General features: G+C 43.6%; 1 long non-coding RNA gene across 1 annotated transcript, besides 1 other annotated feature; it reads right to left on the reverse strand.

The window, feature by feature from the left end:
• Positions 1–246: 246 nt before the first annotated feature.
• LINC00581 (long intergenic non-protein coding RNA 581) lies at positions 247–26078 on the reverse strand. The gene is made up of 4 exons (NR_103790.1): positions 25722–26078; positions 16628–16697; positions 4394–4484; positions 247–715 (listed from the first exon to the last, which is right to left on the reverse strand). It is a non-coding gene; the product is annotated as a long intergenic non-protein coding RNA 581 (long non-coding RNA).
• Positions 24010–24210: a silencer, noted in NCBI's record as "peak5728 fragment used in MPRA reporter construct". NCBI's record gives its function as "represses an SCP1 promoter by STARR-seq MPRAs in K562 erythroleukemia cells {active_cell/tissue: K562}" and the evidence as "EXISTENCE:reporter gene assay evidence [ECO:0000049][PMID:32103011]".

Consider the following 26078-nt stretch of genomic DNA (forward strand, 5'->3'; position numbering starts at 1 on the left):
TTAAACAACAACAACAAAAATCTGGCCATTATAGAATGCTCGAGAAATTACAAACATACACAAAGAAGAAAACAAAAATAATCTTCATCCCACCACCCTGAGATAATCCTTGTAACATTTGTGAATAGGATATTCACTGATCTTCTCCGTGTGTGTGTGTGTGTGTGTGTGTGTGCACGTGTGCATGCACACAAAATTGAAATGATTTTAACATGGAGGGCACTTGCATACATTCCCAAAACAAACTCTGTTTTCATATTTATTGACTTTTTCTTTAAGATACAGATAAAACTATAATAATACTAAAAATACTAAATACTACTACTAACTACAGTATTAGATTAGATACTTTAACATGCCCATAAAAATGATGGTATTAGACCTGGATAGAAAGGCTTTTTCTTTAATTAAAACAATGTAAAAGTGATAACTCCTCAATACTGTTTTGACAATGTTTTTCTCTATTTAAGTCATATGACCACACACCCTGGGGGTTTGGAAGAAAACATAAATTTTATGAGAGTCGGGTCACAACGAAAACAAACAAAGAATTCAAGAATAATCTGTCGAGTTTCACACTGTCATGCTTACAACTTCACAGCAAACCTTTGGGATTAAATTGTGACATTTCCAGGCTGAGGATCCAGAGCTCGAAACCCTCCTCCTGTTTTATTTCACTGATGTTTGAAGAATGTTGGTGGTCTTGTAAGAGAACCTGAAGAGAGGGAGGAAATAGTCAACATTAGGGAATAATCTAGGGAAAGTAAAATATGATTTCCTTTCTTCTACCAGAAAGTATAGCTGATCAGCCAAGATTAGGTTTTCTTTGTGCAAGGCCGTTTCCTGGGGTGCAGAAAGAAAATATTAAAACTCTTCATTAAAAAAATTATAGCTTCTATATATGTATAGTTCTATATACTTTACAATATATGTTAATATAGTAGGGCATTATACATATTTTATAAACTAACAGGTATATGTATATGGGGAGCTAACTGAACTCATATTCGTGTATATTTGGGGATGTGTATACTCAAAAGCCTTTTCAGGAGAGGAGTGCACCATCCAAACAGATCGCCGCTTATCTTCCCTCAAAATCATTTCTTTATTGGAGTCTTGCAAGGGATTTTATTACATGGCGGAGAATCACATCCTCACTGGAAGATGCTCTGAAATTGCTTTTTATATGTGTCTTTTTGACAACTGAACTAATTATTGAATGGAGTCGGTAGAGGAAGGGGGCCTGTGGCCCCCGCCCTTTCTCCAGGCCAAGTGAGAACAGATTCCTTCACTAGTTCAGCATTGATCAAGGCCATTCTCCATGAGCACCATTGAGTACTGTGAGGGAAACAGAGATGACTAAGACATGGTTCCGGTGATAATCAATAATTGAAGGAAAAGTGAAACTCTGTACTGGAAATATGGGCTGGGTGCTGGGGAAGTGCTGAGGAGGGAGCACTTAGTTCACACTGGAACTGTCAGGGAGGTTTCGAAACAGGAGATTTCCGTGGGCAATCCGGAGAGCTGGCAGCCCTGGATAAGGAACCAAATAGAGCTATGGAGGTGTGGGAAGTATTTAGTCTGTTGGAAAAAGCAAATTGTTCAAACAGGTGGGATCCCAGGCTATTTAGAGTAACAGAAAGAGCCATAGATGGGACTGGAAAGGAGATTATGGGGGTTCTTGAACATTGTGCTGAAGAGTCCAAATAGTAGCTCTGTAAGATGGTTAGCATCATCCTCATTAAAAAAAAAAAAAAATTTTTTTTTAGATGGGGTTGCACTCTCTTGCCTAGGCGGGAGTGCAGTGGTGCAATCATGGCTTCCTGTAGCCTCAAACTCCTGGGCTCAAGGCATCCTCCTGCCTCAGCCTCCCGAGTAGCTGGGACTAGAGGTGAATGCCACCATGCCTGCCTAGCATCCCCATGTCTACACATGAAAAAACTGAGGCTCAGAGAAGCTCAAAGTCACAATGCAGGTATACTGCAGAGCTGGCCTCAAATCCAACATTTTTTCCACTTTTAATTTATAACAGAAGTATAAAAACAAAGATGCAATATAAAATGCTTTTGTGCATTATTGGTTAATTGTCATGTGCATTTAGAAGAGGTAAGCTGAACCAACTAATAAGACTTTATAGCTGTATTATCAGTCCTTTTAAATTAATATATTTGAAAATCTGCTATAGTGCCCACAATTGCAGCTGTTAAAGAGTTAATGACAGACACTGAAACCAGCGTGGCCTTCACGTGCCTGGTGTCTGAAGCAGTGCCCGAACCATAGCAGGTGCTCCATGAATGCAAAGGAAATAAAACCGATTCCATTTTTATTTTAAAGTCAATTAAATTTGAATTCAATCAAGAAAGTTGATTAGAAGTTGATTAGAAGATGCATGCACACAAATACATTTGAAATGAATTTATGTCTGTTAATTGTGGATTTGAGATTTTATTTATGAAAACTAGGGTCTTTGAATTTCCACTTGATATCTACCTAATTTTTGTATTATTGAGAGAGTCCATTGGTGGAAAGTACCCAGGGTTAGGAGCTAGATTTAGGTTTGAATCTTTTTTTTTTTTTTTGAGACAGAGTCTCGCTCTGTTTCCCAGGTTAGTAAGCAGTGGCACGATCTCGGCTCACTGCAACCTCCATCTCCCGAGTTCAAGCGATTCTCCTACCTCAGTCTCCCAAGTAGCTGGGATTACAAGAGTGCACCACCACACATGGCTAATTTTTGTATTTTTAGTAGAGATGAGGTTTCACTATGTTGGCCAGGCTGGTCTCAAACTCCTGACCTCAAGTGATCTGTCTGCCTCGGACCTCCAAAGTGAGCCACCAGGCCCAGAAAGATTCAGGTTTGAATCTTGACTCTACACTTTTTTAAACCTTGGATAAATCTTGATTTAACCTTGGATAACTTCCCTAAGTTTCCATTTCCTCATCTGTAACATGGGAATAGTAACACCCCTTTGCAGGATCATTGGAAGTATTAGAAATAAACTCCACATAAAGTCCGTATGTATAAAGATATGTAAAGATGCACAGGTATGCTACATACAAAGTCACGTAGTAGGTACACAATAAATTGTGGTCATCATTGTTATTTTCTATTTTAATTTTTTAAAACTCTGTTACACTTCAGACAGATAGTCATTTTGTTGGCTAGCCTTTCTAGCTCATGAAACCTGTGACTATGTTCTATAGCCATATAATTTCCTCAAGCTTTGAACATTAAAATTAAATACAGAATAATCCTGCAGATATGGATACTTTCAGCTCAGCTGTTTCCTGTCTGTGAAAATATCACAATTTATTTAATAACTGATGTCAGAATAGGTTTCAAGCAACCTATAGAATAGTAATGAAGCTGGGTTTAAACAAATGTGTCTGTTTATATTTAATTCCCTCCACTTTCTGATAGAATGAACAGTTTTATTAGAAAATAATCAGTGTGTGGATCTCTTTTCTACACACTGTTTCCACCTTAACTACCTAGACCCTCTTAATCTCCGTGATTCTCATTGAATTGGGTTCTTAACAGATAACAATGAATTTTAAGTACAGTGGGTACCGCATTCTTCATTCTGTGGGGTAACTGATTTGATGGAACAATAGATTTGGAGTTCCAATCTGGGGCGGAGTGCAGAATTTACAGAAAAAAATAGATAACTCGGCAAAATAAACAATATCTTTCGAGGACTTATAATTCCCTCTCCAGAAAGGGCTGGCAGAGTCATTCTTTTGCTATGTATCTTATTTTGTTAGAGACATAAATCTCAGTTATAAAATCAGTTGAGGCCGGGCACGGTGGCTCACATCTGTAATCCCAGCACTTTGGGAGGCCAAGGCAGGCGGATCACTAGGTCAAGAGATCGAGACCATCCTGTCCAACATGGTGAAACCCCCGTCTCTACTAAAAATACAAAACTTAGCTGGGCATGGTGGCGGGTGCCTGTAGTCCCAGCTACTCAGGAGGCTGAGGCAGGAGAATCACTTGAACCCAGGAGGCGGAGCTTGCAGTGAGCCAAGATTGCACCATTGCACTCTAGCCTGGGCGACAGAGTGAGACTCCATCTCAAAAAAAAAAAAAAATCATTTGAGGACTGTGTTATGCAACTTTATAAACCACATGCTTGAGAGCTTCACAAAGTTTCCCTACAGTCGGAGAATCCTACTCATCCCCCTTCGCTCAGGAATTTTTCATTAGAGGCTTGAGGCATGTGAGTTAATAGGGTTCATGATCCCCATTCTGTTTTTCCTCTAAGCAGGTCTCCTAAGAGCATTAATTTGTGCATTCTATTTCAATAGAGACTTTAACACAAAAAAAGGTCAAATTATTACCCACATAATTTTTGTCACTTATTAGAAAAGTCTCAGTTGTCAAGTCCCTTTTCACCTGAGAAGTTCATGTGAGATGAGTTCCAACTTCTTTGCAGTGATCCGTGCTGATATTCAGCATTCTGGAAATTCTGCATGCAAATCTCAACCTGTAGGTGAAAGTTACCTTTTAAACTTCAACTCCCCCTTCAATAAAGACAATTTTCAACCTTTCTGGTAACAGACATTAGTTAAATTCTAACAGTCTAATTTTTTTGTTGTTTGTTTTTGTATCAGCCATACAACATCCCCAAATGGTTTGCTTTTCTAATAAAAATGAATTTTTTTTCTTGGCTGGGTTTTTTTTTTCTCTCTCTCTCTCTCTTTTCTATGTTGCTCAGGCTGGTCATGAACTCCTGGCCTCAAGTGATTCCCCTGCTTTCCAAAGTGCTGGTATTACAGGCATGAGCCACCATGCCCAGCCTTAAAAAAGAAATTTTTAAAATGCAAATATTCCCTACTGTCATGGGCTTCTATTTGAAGGCAAGAGTCCAAAGGTCTTTACAGAGGGTCTCCTGCAGTTTGCTGGACCGCAGCCAGTCACTATGGAGGAAGAATAGGGTGGGAGGACTCAGGGTATCCCCACCGGCCCCTCTTTCCTGCCCAGTGGAGCCGACAATCCTAGGTCAAACTGTGGGTCCTGCAAAATTCTACAGAAAACCCTGATTAGAGGCCTAAAGAATAAATCCACTGATTTACAAGAGGCTTTCCCTGACCTCATAGGGTGATTTAGAGGGGGCCCAGAGATGTCATTCACATTTAAAGAAAAAACGCAACTTGAGTCTTGTAGCTTGAGTCTCAGGCTGGACTGCACTTATTCAAGTGCCCTCTTGTTCCTTCTCATCATGGTCTCCTCAGATGCCAGGTGTGGGCCTCCAGCTATTTGGTCCAATACTTAGCAAGAGTGATTGTCTGTATCCTCTTAGTGGTACCCTCTGTGCTGCTTGGGTCTGAAGTTGGAAGGGTGATATTGAGGCAAAACCCCAGAGCAGCTTGTTGACTTTGTTTCCACTGGCTTCTCCTCGTGTTTTGGTTGACTTGGTCAACATCGTTCCTCCCAGCATTCAAGACTCCATATAGAGCACCATTCAAAACCTGTTCTGTCTTCAGGGAACTTTCATTGCAGGTGGTTTTCTACTGAGGGAGAAGGTAGGAGAAGTGTTCAGATGCTCTAAAAATTCAAGTTCCCCAAAAGCAAAGGATCTTGCCACATCATGACTTTTTCCTAATGAGCCTCTCTTTGCAGGGGAAAGAGTAGTTCTGATTGAAAGGCAAAATCTCTCCCTTCCAAGAAGGAAGCTCAAATCAGATCATTTTACTTCTCTGCTAGACACCTTCTCATCCTTTCACATCTTAGTAAAAACCAGTGATTAAAATGGTGCTGTCTCTGCATGATAGGGTCTTTTGGCACCTCTCAGGCCTCATGCCTCCTCCTTCTTTCTGACCCCATTCCAGCCTCAGTGGCCTCCTCACGGTCCCTCCAGCATGGCCAGCACGCCCCTGCCTCTGGTCTTTGCACATGCTGTGCCCCCTGCCTGAAATGCTGTTCTGCACATCTCTGCAGAGCTCTTTCCATGGCATCTTCCAGTCTTCATTCAACTGCCACCCTCCCAAGTGACACCTTCCCTGACCATCCCATCTAAAATTACACATATAACTCCCATCCTCCCCTAACACTCTTTCCATCCTCTTCTGTGCTTTACATTTATTCTTAGCACCCATAACTGTCTTATGTACTATTGTTCAAGCAAGATAAACAGGAGGCCATTTACCGGAGCCTATCTTCGTACTTTGTGTTCCTATGTAACAACCGCCCCCTCAACCAACTTAGTATGTAAACCAGCTGAAACATAAGTGAATAGTATATATTTTATATTTATATATATATATATAGTAACAAATAGCCAAGTTTCAGCCAATCACAAGCAGCCAACTCATCACACCATGTCCAAATAAGGCAAACACCTAGCTGTAGCCAACCAGGTGATTGCTCTGCTCTGCTTCTGAGTTCAGCTCCTGCTGCTGGGCTGAGCTGTCTGAACTTCTGGCTCTGAGGGCTGCCTAACTTAGGAATCCTTCTTTGCTCAAATAAACTCTTAAATTTATTTGAGAGACAAACTCTATCTAAAAGTTTTTTTTAACACTATGTAGTTTGAAAGTGTATATCATTATCTGTTGGGTTTTTTTTTTTTTTGAGATGGAGTCTCACTCTGTTGCCCAGCTGGAGTGCAGTGGCGCGATATTGGCTCACTACAACCTCTGCCTCCAGGGATCAAGCAATTCTCCTGCCTCAGCCTCCCGAGTAGCTGAGATTACAGGTGCCTGCCACCACGCCCAGCTAATTTTTGTATTTTTAGTAGAGACAAGGTTTCACCATGTTGGCCAGGCTGGTCTCGAACTCCTGACCTCAAGTGATCCACCCGCCTCGGCCTCCCAAAGTGCTTGGATTACAGGTATAAGCCATCACACCCAGCCTACCTGTTGGCCTTTAAAAATGAAAGCACCACAAGGGAAGGGATTGACATCCTATTTGTTCATTCCTGTATCTGCAGCACTTAGAATGGTGTGTGACCGGCACATAGCAGGTGTTCAATGAACGTGGGGTGAACAATGAATGCCTGAACAAAGAATAAAGTGAGGACCATTTGTGGCTTTATTTTTTTATTTTTTTTTGAGATGGAGTCTCGCTCTGTCACCCACACTGGAGTGCAGTGGCACAATCTCAGCTCACTGCAACCTCTGCCTCCCAGGTTCAAGTAATTCTTCCACTTAAGCCTCCCGAGTAGCTGGGACTACAGGTGCCACCACCACGCCCAGCTAACTTTGTATTTTTAGTACAGACAGGTTTTCACCATGTTGCCCCGTCTGGTCTCAAACTTTTGACCTCGAGTGATCCTCCCACCTTGGCCTCCCAAAGTGCTGGGATTCTAGGCATGAGCCATCACGCCTAGCCTATGGCCATTCTTGACTATCCTCAGCCAAGGGCACCCAGCTCATGCTTTCCCGAGGGCCACATGGTTCTCGCAGCACCCCGCAGAAGATCAGAGGTGCTGCCCAGACTCTGGTTGTGCTCCTGAGAAACTGAGTCTTCTGCATCCTCTTATCATTGGCCATTGACCTGGCTGGAGATGCAAACTGTGTTCCTTGGCTTTTTGTATGCATAAACTGAATGTTTGAAGCCTCACCTTCCTTTGGATACAGATGAAATCATATTTAATGAAATATAAATCATAATAACTCTCAGCCCCCCTCCACCCCGCATAATTGCAGGAACTCTACGCATCCCCCCCGCCCCAGCTTTCTGTTCATGTTCTTCCATGCCAAACTCGCTAAGGCACTTGTCAGTGCCCCTGAGAAAGGTCCCCACTATGCCTAGCCCCTGAACCACTGGGAGTCTCTGCCCAGCACCAGAGCTCCTTCATGGGCTCTAGAGGCGCGAGGGGAGGAAAGCAGCAAGCTGTTTCTGCTAGTGATACCGGAGCGGGGCAGGGAAATGCTGGGTAGAGAAAGGCGGGGTCCCTGGCTAGGTCTCCACCCTCGGGCCTATACTCACGGACCTATGTGAGAACAGGCATTTCTGTTTTCCCGCCTAAATGTTGCATTTTCCAACACCACCCTGGCCCGCCATACCCCCTATCCTGTGCCTGTAAAAACCCTGAAACACTAGAGGGGACAAACACAAGCAGCTGGACGTTGAGAGGAACACACCAGCAGAAGACACCGGCAGAAGAACACACTGACAGACACCAGCAGACGCCCGCAGGTCATCTACCGCGGGACGACGCAAAGTTCAGCCGAGGGCAGTCAGGGGAGAGCTGTGCCGCCCGACTCCAAGGGAAAACCACCTTCTCACTCCACACCCCTTCTGGCTCCCCATCCATCTGCAGAGAGCTACTTCCACCACTCAACAAAACCTTGCTCTCAGCCGGGCGCGGTGACTCATGCCTATAATCCCAGCACTTTGGGAGGCCGAGGCGGGCGGATAACGAGGTCAAGAAATCGAGACCTTCCTGGCCAACATAGTGAAACCCCGTCTCTCCTAAAAATACACAAATTAGCTGGGCGTGGTGGCGCGTGCCTGTAGACCCAGCTACTCAGGAGGCTGAGGCAGGAGAATCGCTTGAACACGGGAGGCGGAGCTTGCAGTGAGTCGAGATCGCACCACTGCACTCCAGCCTGGCCACAAAGCGAGACACTCCGTCTCAAAAACAAACAAACAAACAAACAAAAACCTTGCACTCGTTCTCCAAGCTCACGTGTGATCCGATTTTTCTGGTACACCAAGGCAAGAACCCCGGGATACAGCAAACCCTCTTTCCTTGCTGTAAGGCAGAGGGTGTAATTAAGCTGATTAACACAAGCCGCCTACAGATGGCAAATCTAAAAGAGCACCCTGCAACACACGCCCACTGGGGCTTCAAGAGCTGTAAACATTCACCCCTAGACGCTGCCATGGGGTCAGAGCCCATGCTCCCCACGACCTGCCTGTCTGCCTGCTCCCCTAGGGGTTTTGAGCAGCGGAGCACCTGAGCCGCAGCCCCATCACACGCCAGGAGATGGGGACGAGGGAACTTTTCTCATTTCACTTGGACTCACAAAGTCTTTAGGTGACCATAACTACTTTTGGGCCTGGGCCTGCACTTTCCAATTACACAGCTTATAGGCAAACCCTCCAGCTGGTGGGAGAGTAGAGAACTTGCATTCTCTTCTTGCTCCCCTCTTCCCCTTCTCCTTCTAGGCGTTCGTGCAAAATAATACCCTTTGACTCCTGCACCCGACACAGATGTTTCTGGAGTTGTCGTCCATGTGCCAGAAGTTCCTAGTCTGTGACCTTATAGGACACCTTGCAATTCATTCTCATTGTGTTTAGACGATCCCTTCATATGCTAGTCCATTCTTGGTTTCTGGCTCCTAAGTTCACTCATTGTTTATCAGGGGGCAATTCTTATTCACCCCTTACTTACTCCTTGGGAGAGTAAGAATTGCCTTCTAGAAACATAACACCAATTCTCTCAAGGCTTTCTAGGAAAATCTGCTATAGACTTCTGTACATAAACCCACTTCTTTCTTTCTTTACTCATAAGCTCACTGATGGAGCATAAACCAGCCCACCCCTACTGGAGTTAAGGTCACTTCCTTCTTGGAAAATCAATATTTTTCTTTTATATCACAAATTAAGAGTTTCCTCATAGAGAAAAAAATTATCCTAAAGCCTAAAGTCATCCTGCTTTACTTTTCTTTTCTTTTTTTTTTTTTTGAGATGAAGTCTCACTCTGTTGCCCAGGCTGGAGTGCAGTGGAGCGATCTTGGCTCACTACAACCTCTGCCTCCTGGGTTCAAGCAATTCTCCTGCCTCAGCTTCCCAAGTAGCTAGGACTACAGGCGTGCACCACCACACCCAGCTAATTTTTGTATCTTTTTAGCAGAGACAGGGTTTCACTATATGTTGGCCAGGCTGGTCTCCAACTCCTGACCTTAGGTAATCTGCTCACCTTGGCCTCCCAAAGTGCTGGGATTACAGGCATGAGCCACCATGCCCCACCCTGTTTTACTCTTAAGATCTCAAATTATGACCTTTCCATATTCCTTCCATCCATTTTAGTCCCCCATTTATGAGGGTCCCCACACCCTCATAAACCTTCCATTTGTGACACTCTCTGATTGGAAAAATATGAATGTTAACAAAATAATGTCCCGCCTTCAAAAGGGAATGTGTTGTGTTCAGCATCCTTTAATGATTTGGTTGTAGCCTGAAGATGCCTATTAGATGTAAGCAATAGAAGTAGGAGATAATGTTGTGGGAAGTGACCAATGTTTGGTGCCCACCTTAGAATCATGAAAGAGAGTAGTTCCTGTTCTAATTCCTGAGCAGTGAGCTACACATAGCTGTTTCTAAGGGTAAGAGGTCTTGAGGCCGCTCCTCCCGACAACCTGCCTCACCGTGCACCGTGCATACTGAGTCTCCTGGTCCTTTGCACATTGCTTTGCACACTTATCCTGCTTTGCCGTAGCTTTAGGACAAACAAGTTTGCTGAAGCTTCCAACGTGTACTTCTCTTTGAAAATGGCTCAAAGCTGAAAAAACATTAAGGATCAACTGTTCTCAGAGGAAGAAAAAGAAAAATATGCAGGGTTTGTCACTGCCAGGAAAAGTGTTCCTAAACTTTCACCCAGAATTATATACTGTGCTTTCATAAAGGCTGTTCCTAAACAGCTCCGGCTGGTTCTCACACAGCAACAAGACAGCCTGTCATTGAGACGGCAGACCACTTCTAAACCCCTTCTCCAGGAACCTGCAGGCTGCAGGCCAGTTCCAGTTAAAGCCCTTTACTAGGTAGTGGCCTGGTCTGCTGCTTCCAGGCTCAATTCAAAGTCCATAACTTTTAGAAATAAATGTTTCTTGTGGAAAGGGTTGCTGTCTTAAGGTTGCCGCTTCCAGAATCTGTTTTTACTGAAAATGTGAACTGTTTTTATTATCAAATGTCTTTAAAGCCTTGTGACCTGAAACAAAGTATCACAAAGGTTTGAATGTTATAAACTGAAAAACAGAAAACGGGCATACTTCAGCATTTTAACACATGAAAATGTCAATCTGTAGTTAAGGCTCAAATTTTCAATAGCTTCAGTGGCTGACACAGATTCTACTTGGAATCGCTGCTGATTTATTTATCCTGGAATAAATGCAATGCCATTATATCTTGGTGACAACAGAAACAAGCTTTGGCCAGGTCTGTGCATAGTTTAGGGATGAAGAAAATAAGTTTTGAAAGGCAATGGGCATTGCTGATTATAGGTTTTTATTAGGAACAGATGTGGGGCTCTGGTTTTTAGTGGTAGATAAACTGTTATTGAAACAAGTCAGCTGACTAAAAACCATAATGTCTTCTTTTTTAGGAAAGAAAAATATTAACAAATTGAATTCATAATCTTTTTCTTTTTTTTTGTTTGTTTGTTTGTTTGTTTGAGAGGGAGTTTTGCTCTTGTTGCCCAGGTTGGAGGGCAATGGCGCAATCTCGGCTCACCACAACCTCCGCCTCCCGGGTTCAAGTGATTCCCCTGCCTCAGCCTCCTGAGTAGCTGGGATTACAGGCACCTGCCACCATGCCTGGCAAATTTCTGTGTTTTTAGTAGAGACAGTTTCACCACGTTGGCCAGGCTGGTCTCGAACTCCTGACCTCAGGTGATCCACCTGCCTCGGCCTTCCAAAGTGCTGGGATTACAAGCATAAGCCACCATGCATGGCCCATCATCTTTTTCTTTAAGTGATCACCCACTCCAGGCTATAACATATCTCCAGGCTAAAGCTGAGGTTTAGGAAGTAATTATAACAACCTCTTTTACCACCATGCTTAAGCTTCAGATCTCTCCACTTTAAATTTGTTTATGGCTGTCCCCTTTGGACAGTTTTCTCCTCTTAGGGTATATTGATTCTAATGCCAAGTTATATACTGTGTGATCATTTTATGTATTCCAGGGCTGTCATTTTTCTTTCTTTAAGGAAAGTGTAAACGTTTTGGGTCACTTGCTGCCCTATTTTGGGATGGGTCAGCTAAAAGGGAGATTTTAGACATTGTGGATCATTTCCATTTCTCTCTGACATCCACCTTTGCTCCCAGCCATTTACTGAGATCCCTCCATTTAAGGATACTCCCTGGAAATTTCAAATGACACTTCTGATCATAGACCATTGGCCACAAGTTGGCATATTCACAAGTGGCATATTCACATGCCCACACCTAGCTTCAGAGGAGGCTGGGAATTGGAGTTATTCCAATCCAGAATGGTGCTCGCATCAAGCAGCCATGTGGCCAGTTAAAGAATCAGGGCTTCACTTTCTAGAAGAAGGGAATTGGGTAGTGGGAACATTGGTGGTCTGTAACACAGGCTTGTACCAAATTACTCTCCTATCAACAGAATACGGCAGCTCCTTCTCCTCCATGTTTTCATTTAAATTTGATGTTGTCAGACACTTTGATTTTTGTCAATCTGATGGACACTCATTCATTTTTTTTCAAAAAAAGATATATATCCATACCCTGCTTTCATTCTCTTTGCCTCATAGATAACCATTCGAATGTATTTTAATATATCTTTGTGAATATTGTGCGTACTGTACTTTTTTTGGTATGCATCCATTTTTTAATTATTTCATAAAATGATCGATTCTACATCTTTTTTCAATAAGCACTGTGTTTTTAGCTTCCATCCGTGTTGCTATTTGTGCATCTACACTTTTGCAGCTGATCACTAAGTAACACTCTGTGACATTCACCCACGCATTTTACTCTCCCAGTGATGGATGCTCAAGTTGCCTCACTCCCTGACATCCCTTATGCCTTACAGCAAGCCCGTGTGATAAGTCTTATCATTCCAATTTTACAAATGAGAAAACTGAGGTTCAGAGGGGTTAAAGAATTTGCCCCAGGTTCCATTGTTAGGAAGAGGGAAAGAGCCAGGAGAAATCCCCTCGTTAGTTGTTGAAGAGGTGATGCGTCTCTGGTATGAGATCAGAAGTTCCGGCTAAAGTGGCCGGGTGCGGTGGCTCACGCCTGTAATCCCAGCACTTTGGGAGGCCGAGGCGGGCGGATCACGAGGTTAGGAGATCGAAACCATCCTATCCTGGCTAACACGGCGAAACCCTGTCTCTACTAAAAATACAAAAAATTAGCCAGCCGTGGTGACGGGCGCCTGTGGTCCCAGCTACTCGGGAGGCTGAGGCAGGAGAATGGCGTGAACCCGGGAGGCGGAACTTGCAGTGAGCCAAGATCACGCCACTGCACTCCAGCCTGGGCGACAGAGCAAGACTCCGTCTCAAAAAAAAAAAAAAAAAAAAAAGTTCCGGCTAAGCTTCCCTGCTCTGCGTGTCTTCTCCATTCGGCTCCAACGATGCCTCCAAGTTAAAAGCAGAAATTCTTTTCTTTGACTTAATGATTCCTTTCTGATCAGAATCCAAATAGATTGTAAGCCTCATTGCGTATTTATGCCTTGTGGTTAAATGAGTTTTCAGCCCCTTTCTGGGGGTGTATAGCTCTTGAGGGTTTAGAGGGCAGTGTATCCTTTGGAACAGAATTCCACTGTGAGTGTATGAAAACCCAAGTAACAGCGGCTTCAACAAGTGGCTATTCAGTTATGCAAGTGGTTCCCAAAGCGTGGTCTCCAACCAGTGGCAGCAGCGTCCTCTGGAAATTTGTTAGGAATACAAGGCTCAGGACCCCACCCCAGACCTTCGGAATCAGACACTCTCAGGAAGGGCCCATGAATCTGTGTTTTTATGAGACCCCCAGGTGACTCATGTGCCTACTCGGGTTTGAGAGCTACAGGGTTATCCTCCATAGCAAAAGATCCAGGGTTAGGCAGTCAGGGCTGGCACCATAGTACCAGCAATGCCAATGAGCATCCAGGCTCTTTATGCTCCCCTGCTTTGCCATCTTGAGCATACGGCTTTCATCTCTGGAAGCAAGATGTATTTTATTTTATTTTATTTGTTTGTTTTTTAAGAAGGAGTCTTGCTGTGCCACCCAGGCTGGCATGCAGTGGCCTGATCTCAGCTCACTGCAACCTCTGTCTCCCGGGTTCAAGCGATTCTCCTGCCTTAGCCTCCCGAGTAGCTGGGATTGCAGGAGCATGCCACCACGCCCGGCTAATTTTTGTATTTTTAGTAGAGACAGGGTTTCACCATGTTGGCCAGGCTGGTCTCAAACTCCTGACCTCAGGTGATCCGCCCACCTCGGCCTCCCAAAGTGCTGGGAGTACAGGCGTGAGTCACCATGGTCGGCTGGAAGATGTATTTTAGATACCTCATCTGCATTCCAGCTAGAAAAAAAAGGGAAAATCCAGGGTGGTGCCTATATCAAGAAATCTTTCCCAGAATCCTCTGCTTATGTCTCCCTGAGAGTAAAAGTCACATAGCCATGCCCAGATGCACAGAGTCTGGATAGGTGAGGATGTGTTAACTGTGCACATTGTCATTGTTCTCTTGCCCCCAGACTGGGACTCTGTTAGTGGGAAGAACAGGGGGATTGATGCCACGTGTAAGCAAATCAGCAGGTTCTATTTGTACTTAAAAGCAGAGATGGGAGAAGCCACATTAGAGCAGTAAATAGTCAGGAATGGCTTTAACCTGCTTCGTAATTTTTCTGGAGGCTGGCCTTAGTGTGAAGATAAGAGATCTAGACTCTTTTCCAGCCTGTACACTTGAAGGAGATTGCTGTTTCACCTGCATGAACAACAGTTGTTTGGATTTGTGGCCAGCAGTTTCCTTTTGTCCTTGGAGATCAAGAGAAGTTCCATAATTCACAGCCACTAAATCTGTAACACTAGCCCCAGCACTGAGACTAGATTCTGTCTTGCAAAAACCACAGAAGTGATTAGCAGAGGGACAGAAACAGATTAAGAAGGGCTTGCTATGCTGAGTTTGTTTACACGAGCTCCCCACCCACCGCCCAGGAGAAGGGATCATCATTTATTTTTGCCTCTTGGCCTTGAGCCTGTTTTTTGTTTTTTCCCTGAGTATCTCTGCCTGTTGACATACTCTCCAGCTCAGGGTTTTGTTTTTGTTTTTCACTTATTTTCTAGGTATACTTGGGAATAGACCTCTGAATAGAAAGATAATACGTATTTTTGTCTTAGTCCTCCAAGGACTGTCTTGTGAAAAAGAATAACCAGCCCTGCCCTGTCTTAAGCATTGCAAAGTGCAGGGAGCTGGTTGCCCAGTAGCCCGTGGGCATGCTTGGGCCCTCCAGCCTTCCCTGGAAGGGGTGGGGCCCCTGCAGCTTACAGAAGATCTTTCATGTTTCCTTGCTCCTAGGAGTGGGTTGTGCCCATCAACACTACAGGTGGGTCCTAGGCAAGTGCCAAACAAGCAGCTGCACAGCCCAGGGACTTTGAGCTGTTTGCAGCTCTCCTCTCTTTGTGCCCCTGCCAACTCACACACACCTGGGATTTCACCAGCTGCCTGCCCACTGAGCCCCCTTCCCACCATGTGACCTAATCCTCATTACACCTGCTCCTCTGCAGGGCAGCCAGCCGGTTCCCACCTTGCCTAAATAAGGCCTGGGGAGGTTTGAACAAGACCTACGCTATTCATGCCTGAAACAGCCAACTCCCACCAGTTTCATGGCAAATTACGAGGGATTGAGGTTTACTGTGAAGAAAGGCTAGACCTGACAATTAATCAGCCTGGTCATATGGGGATCAAATTAAATTGGACCTGAGGCCTCAGCTCCAAAATGGAATCAAATTTTCTCTTTTGGCAGGATACGTGCATTGGACTGAGACTACAAACACAGCCTGTCCATCTTCCTTCTTTGCATACAGATATTGGTTTGTAATTTTAAAACACAGCAAAGAGGTGAGACAAATACTATAGTTTGAGTTTTTAAAGTGAATGCAGGGCTTCTATTCAATTCAGCAAAGATTTATTTTGTCCTTTTCCCTAAGAAGTCTCTCAGTTAGGTGTTAGGGGTAAAAAGTCTGCATAATACCAGATCTGCATCTTCAGGGAGATCAAAATCCAGTAAAGAAGATAGACATGTTATTAATATAAATTTGACTATTAAGCACAAGAACATAAAGCTATAGAAACCATTAATTGTCATTGGGGATTAGCAATAACTTTGCAGAGAAGATAACATGTGAGCTGAGTTTTGAAAGATGAGTGGCAGCTTTGTGCTTTCTCTCTTTGGGCAGACACTGTGAAGTGTCCTGCAGTTGGGATATTTTCTTTAATGGTGTCTGACAGTGTTTTGCACCATTACTGCCTCTCATATTCTGTGCATGAGTATAGTCCAAGGCTAAAAGCGGTAATCACCTTTGGAAACTGCCAACAAACATGAATAACTCTTCTGGGGCCAACTTTTCTCAAGGAAGTAATAAAAGTACTCTTGTGGCTAATGGCAGTAAGCATGAAAGTCTCTTTCTGGCTCTCTTACTGCCTTGTGACTTTGGACATGAAACACAATGTATCAGTCAGTTACCTTTACAAATGTGGGCTCTTTGTGATGGTGTTAATCAACCAGCAAATGAGTTGTAAGCACTTACTATGTGCTTGGTGCAATTCATTGCCACTTTTCTGAGTCACAAAAGTGCAGAAAAGATGAAAAATGGGATAGAAAGGATACTAGTTGTAATATATAAGGAGCAACTTTGTAATTTTAAAACAGAGTATCAGTTTCAGAAATAACTGGAGTGATCACTAAAGTATTTATGCAGCTTGAAAATTTTAGAATTCTAATAACTTTTAGTCCTTGCCTCACCTTCTTCACTAGAGATCACCTCCTGTGGTAGACCAGGAGCCTTCAGTGCTGTTTGTCGATATTTCCAGTTCTGTTTTTGGAAACACAAGGGATAAAGTTTCGTCAGCTCCCTGAGTTTAGGCCCGGCCATATGTTTTGCTTTTACCAGTGAAATGTGAGTGGAAATGGCATTTCATATCTGAGTCAAAGCACCTAATTGCAGTGCTCAGTTACACAACCCTCTCTTCTGCCTCAGCATCATGGAAGCCTTTTTTGATAAAGAAGGGCTTGCTGAACCATCCTAAGGAGGAGAGCTTCCTTGAAGAGTCATGTGGGGCTGCTATGGACTTTGCTTAACTAAAAAAATAATAATAACTGTAATTTTTTTGTTTGTTTCTTGGAAAGCCACTGAAATTTAGGGGCTACTTGTTACTGCAGTATAACCTAGGTTGTCCTTACTAATGCAACAACTGAATAACCATTATTAACTATGTTAACATGTAAGAAAATGGAGTAATTCAGAACACACCCACCTTAGGTAGACTGACACATGGAAGTCATCTCAAATTGTTCTGTGCGTGGTAAGGCCCTTTATACACAAACCTGCAGCACTAATTCAAGTTACCTCTTTTTTTTTTTTTGAGATGGAGTCTCACTCTATCTCCTAGGCTGGAGTACAGTAGCACGATCTTGGCTCACTGCAACCTCCGCCTCCTGGGTTCAAGCGATTCTCCTGCCTCAGCCTTTCAAGTAGCTGGGATTACAGGCACCTACCATCACACCCAGCTAATTTTTGTATTTTTAGTAGAGACAGGGTTTCACCATGTTGACCAGGCTGGTCTCAAACCCCTGACCCCAAGTGATCCACCTGCCTTGGCCTCCCAAAGTGCTGAGATTACAGGTATGAGCCACCACACCCGGCCTCTCATTTTAATTCTCATATCAACACTATATGATAGGTAGCACTACCCACATTTCACAGGTAAGATTCACAGAGTTCCACTAACTTGCCCAAGACCACGTGTAATTGGCCAGTGTGATGGCAAATCCTAGGTTCTCTCCCTTAAATTTGCTGCCTCCCAGAACTGATATAGATGGTTCCCTCCTGGTTCTATTAGTTTGTACATATTCACATGAAGCCAAACCCCACCACATGGACCAGGTAATTCATTTCCCTTTCTTACTATGCACTCTAACCTCAGTCTCACTTGAATTCTGTCTGAATCAAGTGTCTGATAGACATTTCCCTTCAGTGTCAAGGAAACCAAATGGAAGAATGTGGATGGAATGGGGAAAATCCACCCCAACTTCTGGAGAAAACAAACCAGATAATTGGTCAACAAGGGTGACCGTTATGCGTGAAGCACAGGCAAAATTTTTATGTCGCATGTACATTTAACAACAACAACAAAACAGAATTTCAAAAGCTCTCAAAAGGCTATCCACTCTGTTTTTCTAGAAAAGATGGGCCAGGCGCGTTGGCTCACGCCTGTAATCCCAACGCTTTGGGAGGCCGAGTCGGGCAGATTATGAGCTCAGGAGATCGAGACCAGCCTGGCCAACATGGTGAAACCCCGTCTCTGCTAAAATACAAAAAATTAGCTGGGTGTGGTGGCACGTGCCTGTAATCCCAGCTACTCAGGAGGCTGAGGCAAGAGAATCACTTGAACCTGCGAGGCGGAGGTTGCAGTGAGCCGAGATCACGCCACTGCATTCCAGCCTGGCAACAGAGCAAGACTTCATCAAAAGAAAAGAAAAGAAAAGAAAAGATGGTTGTAACCCACCCAGGGCAAGTGTTTATCAGTCTTAACTTCAATGATCTTCAATAAAATTTTCACTATTTCATACCATAATTTGTTTTGGGGAAACTCCCAAGTTTCCCCATATTTGCATATGGTCTTGCAGTCCAACATCAAGGTTATTATATGCAGGACAGAGGGATGCTCTTTCAGGGTAGGGACCCTGGCAATCGTATCAACTGATGGATCTCAGTGCCTCATTTAACGCCAGGCAGTAAGCCCTTAGAGACATTTGTTAAACAAATAAATAAAGTTAAAGAACTCATGACCACTGACATAGAGTACAAAATAAACACACAAATAAGAATGTGGTTTTACCAAAATGAAAGGAAGACTTGCTTTAGCCAATCACATGAATGATTGTCCCTCAAGATCTGGGTTATGCAACCATAACTAAGTTACATACAGGTCTTATTAAAGTCTAAACTCAAAAATGAAAAATGATTTCTTCCTGCATATTTAAGCTGAAAACCTCCTTAGGGGTTTCTGTTTTATGCACACTAATTTAATATTAATAAGAAGTATATTGCTATGCCTAATATATGACTTTGGTGAGGGAAGAAATGTACATGGGGCTTTTGGACATTTTTGATGAGGGATCTGCTAGCATCTGGACTTGGCTTTCACAAGTGTAAACAAAAGCTCAGTTGAATGAGCAATGGACGTGCCTTGCCGAGTTGCTAAGTAGCAAGACGCTATTTGAGGAAGCCCATATTCTTCTTTGAAGTGTAATTCACCTGGCTCAATGGCACCGTTGGACAGCTGGAATTTTTGAAGTGACCATTGCTATTAAAGATAAACAGTTCTGGCTGGGCACAGTGGCTCACGCCTGTTATTTGGTGTACTAGAGGCCAAGGTAGGTGGATCACTTGAGACCAGGAGTCTGAGACCAGCCTGGTCAACATGGTGAAATTTCCTCTCTACTAAAAATACAAAAATTAGCTGGGCATGATGGCGCACACCTGTGGTTTCAGCTACCTGGGAGGTTGAGGCACAAGAATTGCTTGAACCCGGGAGGTGAAGGTTTCAGTGAGCCAAGATCACGCCACTGTACTCCAGCGGGGGCAACAGAGTGAGACCCTGTCTCAAAAAAATAGAATAAAATAAAATAAACAGTTCCTGATTTAGCAAAGTCTAATTCCAATGTATGTATCATCATTCCACAGTGAAGGTAAGAGATAAGAGTCACCAGAGGGATTTTATCAAGTCTCTCTCTCTCTCTCCACACACACACACACACACACACACACACACACACACACACACCCCAATATGGTAGATATTATAAAGATGTAAGATATATCATGCATATACAGATGTATGCCACGAAAATCAAGTTCTAGGAATCTACAATTTGGTATGAATGTGTCTGCTCTCCTTTGAACTATTAAGCCAACTCTGGACCCTGAGTGAATTTCCTTTCCTTCCTGTAGTTGGTTGTTTTAGGGAAAAGTTTAAACAAATGCTTTGTCCACTAGAATCACATGGAGGGATTATGGTCAAGGTCATGCATAGGTAACCAGGTTGCGAGCTCTTTGCAGTCACCCAGGCTGGTGTGCAGTGGCACGATCATAGCTTACTACAACCTCGGACTCTTGGCCTCAAGCGATCTTACTGCCTCAGCCTCCCAAAGTGCTGGGATTATAGGCATGAGCCACTGTACCTGGCCATGACTCATTTTTTAAAAATCCTTTTCGTAGCTTGTCTTGCACTAACTAGATGTCTAGTAAGTGTCTGTCAAGTAGGCTATGTATATACTTGTATCCAGTAACAAAGCTGAGATTATACATGTAGAAACTCTACAACCAATATTTTGCAGTCAGCTTTTTGATAATGGGAAAAAGTTGGTTTTGCTCTTAGGATTTATTGGGTTTGGTTTCAGTCTCATTATAAACAATGCTTCATCTTTAACTTTCAAAGTAATGAGCTACAGTACAAAGCACTTTTCTGAACTGTTTGAGGATATGCTGGCGACCAGATATCCCATCACCCAGAATACTTTAGTGTAGATTTTTCCTCCTATGAAGGAACATTCTCCTACTAGACCACAATACAACCATCCAAGTCAGAACATTAACACTGATTGCGTTACCCTCGAATCCTCAGAGCCTATTCAAGTTTCTCCAGTTGTGGTTATAACATGCCCTATAGCAAAAGGATGCAGTCCAGAATTACACATTGCATTTAGCGATCACAGCTCTTCACTTTTCTTTTGTTAGAAACTGTTCCTCAACCTTTTCTTGGCTTCCATGAGCTGACCCACTTTTCAAGTGTACCAGAGGCTGACTTGATAGAATGCCCCTCCAATGTGCCCCGTTACAGGTGGTGTTCAGTTCAACTGCTTAAGATAATGTGTGCTAGGCTTCCCCACTGCCAATGTACTGTTTTTTCCCTTTCTTTTCTTCTTTCTTTTTTCTTTTTTTCTTTTTTTTTTTTTTTTTTTAGAAACAGAGTCTTGCCCTGTCACCCAGGCTGGGGTGCAGTGGTGCCATCATAGCTCACTGCAGCCTTGAACTCTTGGGCTCAAGTGGTCCTCCCACCTAAGTCTCCCACGTAACTGGGACTACATATGTGCACCAGCACACTAGGCTAATTTTTAAATTTTTTGAAGAGATAGGGTTTCGCCATGTTGCTCAGGCTGGTCTCAAACTCCTGGACTCAAGCAATCTGCCCGCCTCAGCTTCCCAAAGTGCTAGGATTACAGGTGTAAGCCACCACACGCAGCCCACTTGATTATTTGGAAAGATGTGCTTTCATCAAGCAGAAGTCTGAAACATTCATTGTAATAAATTTGAAGCTAGAAGGTACCTTAAGGATAATTTAATTCAATCATTTTATTTAGGAACTACTTAATTTCTAGGGATAATTTTGCTTATTCTGATTAAGATAAATTGAGTCTTATTTTTAAAAAAAATTTGTTGGCCAGGCACAGTGGCTCACGCCTGTAATCCCAACACCTTGGGAGGCTGAGGTGGGAAGATTGCTTGAGTCCAGGAGTTTGAGACCAGCCTGGGCAACACAGTGGGACCCCATCTCTACAAAAAATTTAAGAAATTAGCTGGGCATTTTGACCAGGTCGAGGCTGCAGTGAGCTGCGATCATGCCATTGCACTCCAGCCTGGGTGACAGAGTGAGACCCTGTCTCAAACACACACACACACACACACAACCCATAAAACTTCTGTATAAATGAAGATGTGGTTATAAAGGAGCTTCTGGAGTCAGAGACTCTGTCTCAAAAAAAAAGAATGGAGCAGACTTAGGAATGGGAGGCTGAGGGGAAGCTGACCAGGGATAAATGGAGAAAAGCAACAAAGCAACCAATCCCTTCATGAGCCTGATTTGATTGGGGCTAAGAGGAATTTATAAACGTACAGTGAGAGAACACAGCCTGCCTTGGGAAGTTGAGTGGATTTATGTCTCTCCAGTCACGTGAAATCTTTAGGTGATGTACTTCAGATGTGATTGAGGTCAACTGCAAATAATAGAAAATCAGAAGATAGTGGCCTAAAGGAATAAGGGTAGATTTGTCTTAGAAGGTTGGAGGTTACTGGTTGCTGGCAGTGGTTCAGTAGCTGAAAGATGAAGGCCAATATCTCTGATTCCCTTGGCCTTTCTCTCATGATTCCAAGATGTTGCTGTAGCTTCAGGTACCATGTCTGCATTTGAGACAGGAGGAAAGGAAGAGCAGCATTGCCAGACATATTGGTCCTGTTTCATCAGGAAAACAAAAGGCTTATTCAGGCCCTTCCTCACTACCCCTCCCAGTAGGTAGTCATCCACTGAACGTCAGTCTAAGGTCTCACATCATCACTTCCTGCTACAGTGAAGCCTGGGAAAGTGAGGACTTAACTTTCCCAGTTTCTATAGTAGAGGCATGAAAGAAAAAAGCAATTAGGAATGGATTTTGGGTCCATCAGTCTATTTGTCTGCCACAAGAAGACGGATCATTTATTTTTCATATCTCATTTGGAAGACAAGAGAAGTTTCAGTTGGACACAAGAAAAAAAGTATTTACCCTGAGGTCAGCCTACTGTGGCAGACAGTGTAGACAGTGATGCCTCTATCTTTGAAGAGCTTCCAGTTGTGAAAGAATGGGTTTTAGAAGATTTAGACATTCGGTTTCCTGAATCCTGAAGACTGACCAGATGATTTCATTAGATCTATAATCATTTGATTCACTACTTCAAAGCAATATGTTCCCGACCTCTCAAAGCACTGTGAAATACCAAAAAATACAAGATGGCCGCGCCTCCATCCTTCAGCCCTTCTCCCCCTCTATCCGCTTCATTGGAAAACTTCCAAAGGCATTTTGGTTTAGTGGTTCTAAGCCTAATGCTGTTTCTCCTATTCAAAATTGGTTTCAAGTATGTCATGAAAAAATAAAGTACTCGAAAAATGAAGTTCAAGTAAAACATCAGGAAATCAAGATTTGTTTAGTTTATTGAAATGCATTTGGATAAAGCCAAACGTTGATCAATTACTTGAATATGATGGGAGCATTTTACAGGAGAGTCACAAAACTTCTCTAGCCATAATTTTATAAAAGGTTGTGTGTTCTGCTTATTTTTAAGTAAATACACTTGCAAATCACTTGGCAAACCTGTTGAGAGCCCATGGTTTCTTTCTGCTTCACCTCGGTTTTGGCTATACCAGGTTCCCTAATGGCAACAGCTAACCTTTTCCAGACAATCCTTCATGCCCCAGGGGAGGAAAGACAATGCCGCATTGTGAACTCACACGAGGTTTGCAAATGTGGTGCAATTTTGGTGTACTAGTGGCCTGAACTTTACAAACCCACCAAAGAGTCCAGCCAGCCTGGACTTGTTAGCCAGAAAGCATGAGAAAGACTGGTAAAAATCCCTTTTCTTCACCACGTTTAAAGAAGATCTAAAAGAGACTTTCTTACCTCCTAGACTTTTTAACAACTAGAATGAGAACTGGGATTGGTTTCACAATAGCCAAACAAATGATCTCTTTCACACATACTTTTTTTTTTTTTTTTTTGAGACGGAGTCTCGGGGTTTCACCATGTTGGCCAGGCTGGTCTCGAACTCCTGACCTCATGATCCGCCCGCCTTGGCCTCCCAAAGTGCTGAGATTATAGGTGCGAGCTGCCGCACCTGGCCCTCACACATACTTATTTTTATTACATTCCCACAATCGCTTAGGGATCCTATTAGCGTCTATTGCCTCTGCAGAGTTTTGATAAGCAAAAGCTCTTGTTTTCACCTTGCACCAGGCTCTATGTGAAGTGCACCATAAGTTATCCCTAATTCATTTATCCATTCAACAGATTTTTTTTTTTTTTTTTGAGGCAGGGTCTCCCTGTGTCACCCAGGCTGGAGTGTAGTGGTGAATTCACAGCTCACTGTAACTGTAAACTCATGGGTTGAAGCGATCCTCCCATCTCAGCCTCCTGAGTAGCTGAAACTACAGGTACCTGCCACCACACCCGGCTATTTTTCTTTTAAATTTTTTAGAGATGGGCTCTTACTGTGTTCCCTAGGCTGGTCTCAAACACCTGGCCTCAAGCGAGTCTTCCTCCTTGGCCTCCCAAAGTATTGGGATGACAGGTGTGAGACACCACACCCAGCTCCATTCAACAGATTTTTATTGAGCATCTACTTATGAGCTGGTGTTCTGTGTTGGAAATACATGCTATTGCTAACCCTCACAACATTACAAGGGAGTTGTGATTAGCTACATTTTAAAAATGTAAAAAACTAAGCCCCAGGGAGAATAAACAACTCTCCAGGTCACACAGCAAGTCTGTGGCAAAGCTAGGAACTGACTGTCGGCTCTGTTCCACTCCATATTCCATGTGCCTTACACAGTGTCTCACTGCTGCCTTCTTCCTGTCAACCAACTTTATCACAAAGGCCTAGCATTTTGAGACTACAATTCATGAATTTTTTTTTTTTTTGAGACACAGTCACTCTATCGTCCAGGCTGGAGTGCAGTGCCTCAATCTCGGCTTACTGCAACCTCTGCCTCCCAGGTTCAAGCGATTCTCTTGTCTCAGCCTCCCAAGTAGCTGGGATTACAGGCATGCACCACCATGCCTGGCTAATTTTTTTTTTTTTTTTGTATTTTTAGTAGAGATGGGGTTTCACCATGTTGGCCAGGCTGGTCTCAAACTCCTGATCTCAGGTGATCCGCCCACCTCGGCCTCCCAAAGTGCTGGGATTATAGGCAAAAGCCACTGCACCGGGCCCAATTCATGAACATTTAAGGTTACTCTGCCAAAACAGGTGACACTCCTGGTACAAAAATTCAAAGCAGGACCTTGCCTTTCAGTGAGGCTGGTATAAAATTTCCTTCACTCAGTCCCTCTCCTTCCTCACCAGCTCATCTTCAAAATATGATTTCAGAAGACTTTAGTTCTAGGGATAGCTAATCCATGCTTCTGTTAATCACCTTGGCGGACTAGCCTCAGATTGGGAATTCAACACATCCTGGCAGGAATATCCTCAGAGAGGTGAGGAAAAACACCCATCTGCAGTCAGGAGGCCCTGCGTGTCTGATCTACTTGCTCACCATCAGGACAGCTCTTAGTGGTTTAGCTCTGTATGGTCCAAGTTCAGGGTTGTGAGAAACAAATGAGATAACACATGTAACAGCAGCTTGACAATTGGAAGGTAATATATTTTAAAAAGATGATGATCCTAGTTTGCAATACAGAAGGGACTGAACGTTAAAGGTGGAGTTGGAGAACCCTTCAGCTCAACTTTACAAAACTTTTTTTTTTTTTTTTTTGAGACAGCGTCTTGCTCTGTCACCCAGGCTGGAGTACATTGGTGCAATCTCAGCTCACTACAACCTCTGCCTCCCAAGTTTGAGCAATTCTCCTGTCTCAGCCTCCCGAGTAGCTGGGATTACAGGAGCTCACCAGCACCCCAGGCTAATTTTTGTATTTTTAGTAGAAATGGGGTTTCACCATGTTGACCAGGCTGGTCTCAAACTCCTGACCTCAGGTGATCCTCCTGCCTCGGCCTCCCAAAGTGCTGGCATTACAGGCATGAGCCACCACACCTGGCCTTGCAAAACTTTTAATAAAAGATTTTTCAATTATGAGACTCCAAGGAAGGATAATGAAATGAAGCATCTTCTGTCACAGCCCCTTTCTCACTGGTATCTGGGGCATGAAATTCTAAAGAGCGTTCATTCTTCTTGAGCATAAACACGACTGTGGTCAAAAGTGGGCCCTCTCTGTTCCATCAATCTTCTAAAAGCCAAATATGATGATTTAGCAAAGAAAGATATCTAGTGGAATATCCATCACAGCTTCTTCTTTTTTAGAGATGGGGTCTTACCGCATTGCTCAAGCTGGTCTCAAACTCCTGGGCTCAAGTGATCCTCTTCCCTTGACCTCCCAAGTAGCTAGGGCTACACACTCGACTCCATCACAGGTTCTGAATGGAAGGTTTATAGTGTATCAGAGCCTCATGAAGGCAGGGAGCTACTTCCCTTGTGGTTGGTGAACCTCAAATTGCCTCTATATGGCCATAAGCAAAAATCACAGAGGCGGATTTTGATGTGTCTAAAGAGGCAGGCACGGCTGGGCACAGTAGCTCAAGCCCATAGTCCCAGCACTTTGGGAGGCCAAGGCAGGCAGATCACTTGAGCTCAGGAGTTCAAGACCAGCCTGGCCAACGTGGTGAAGCCCCACC

Source organism: Homo sapiens, chromosome 6 (genome assembly GCF_000001405.40).
Source record: "Homo sapiens chromosome 6, GRCh38.p14 Primary Assembly".
Classification (NCBI taxonomy): domain Eukaryota; kingdom Metazoa; phylum Chordata; class Mammalia; order Primates; family Hominidae; genus Homo; species Homo sapiens.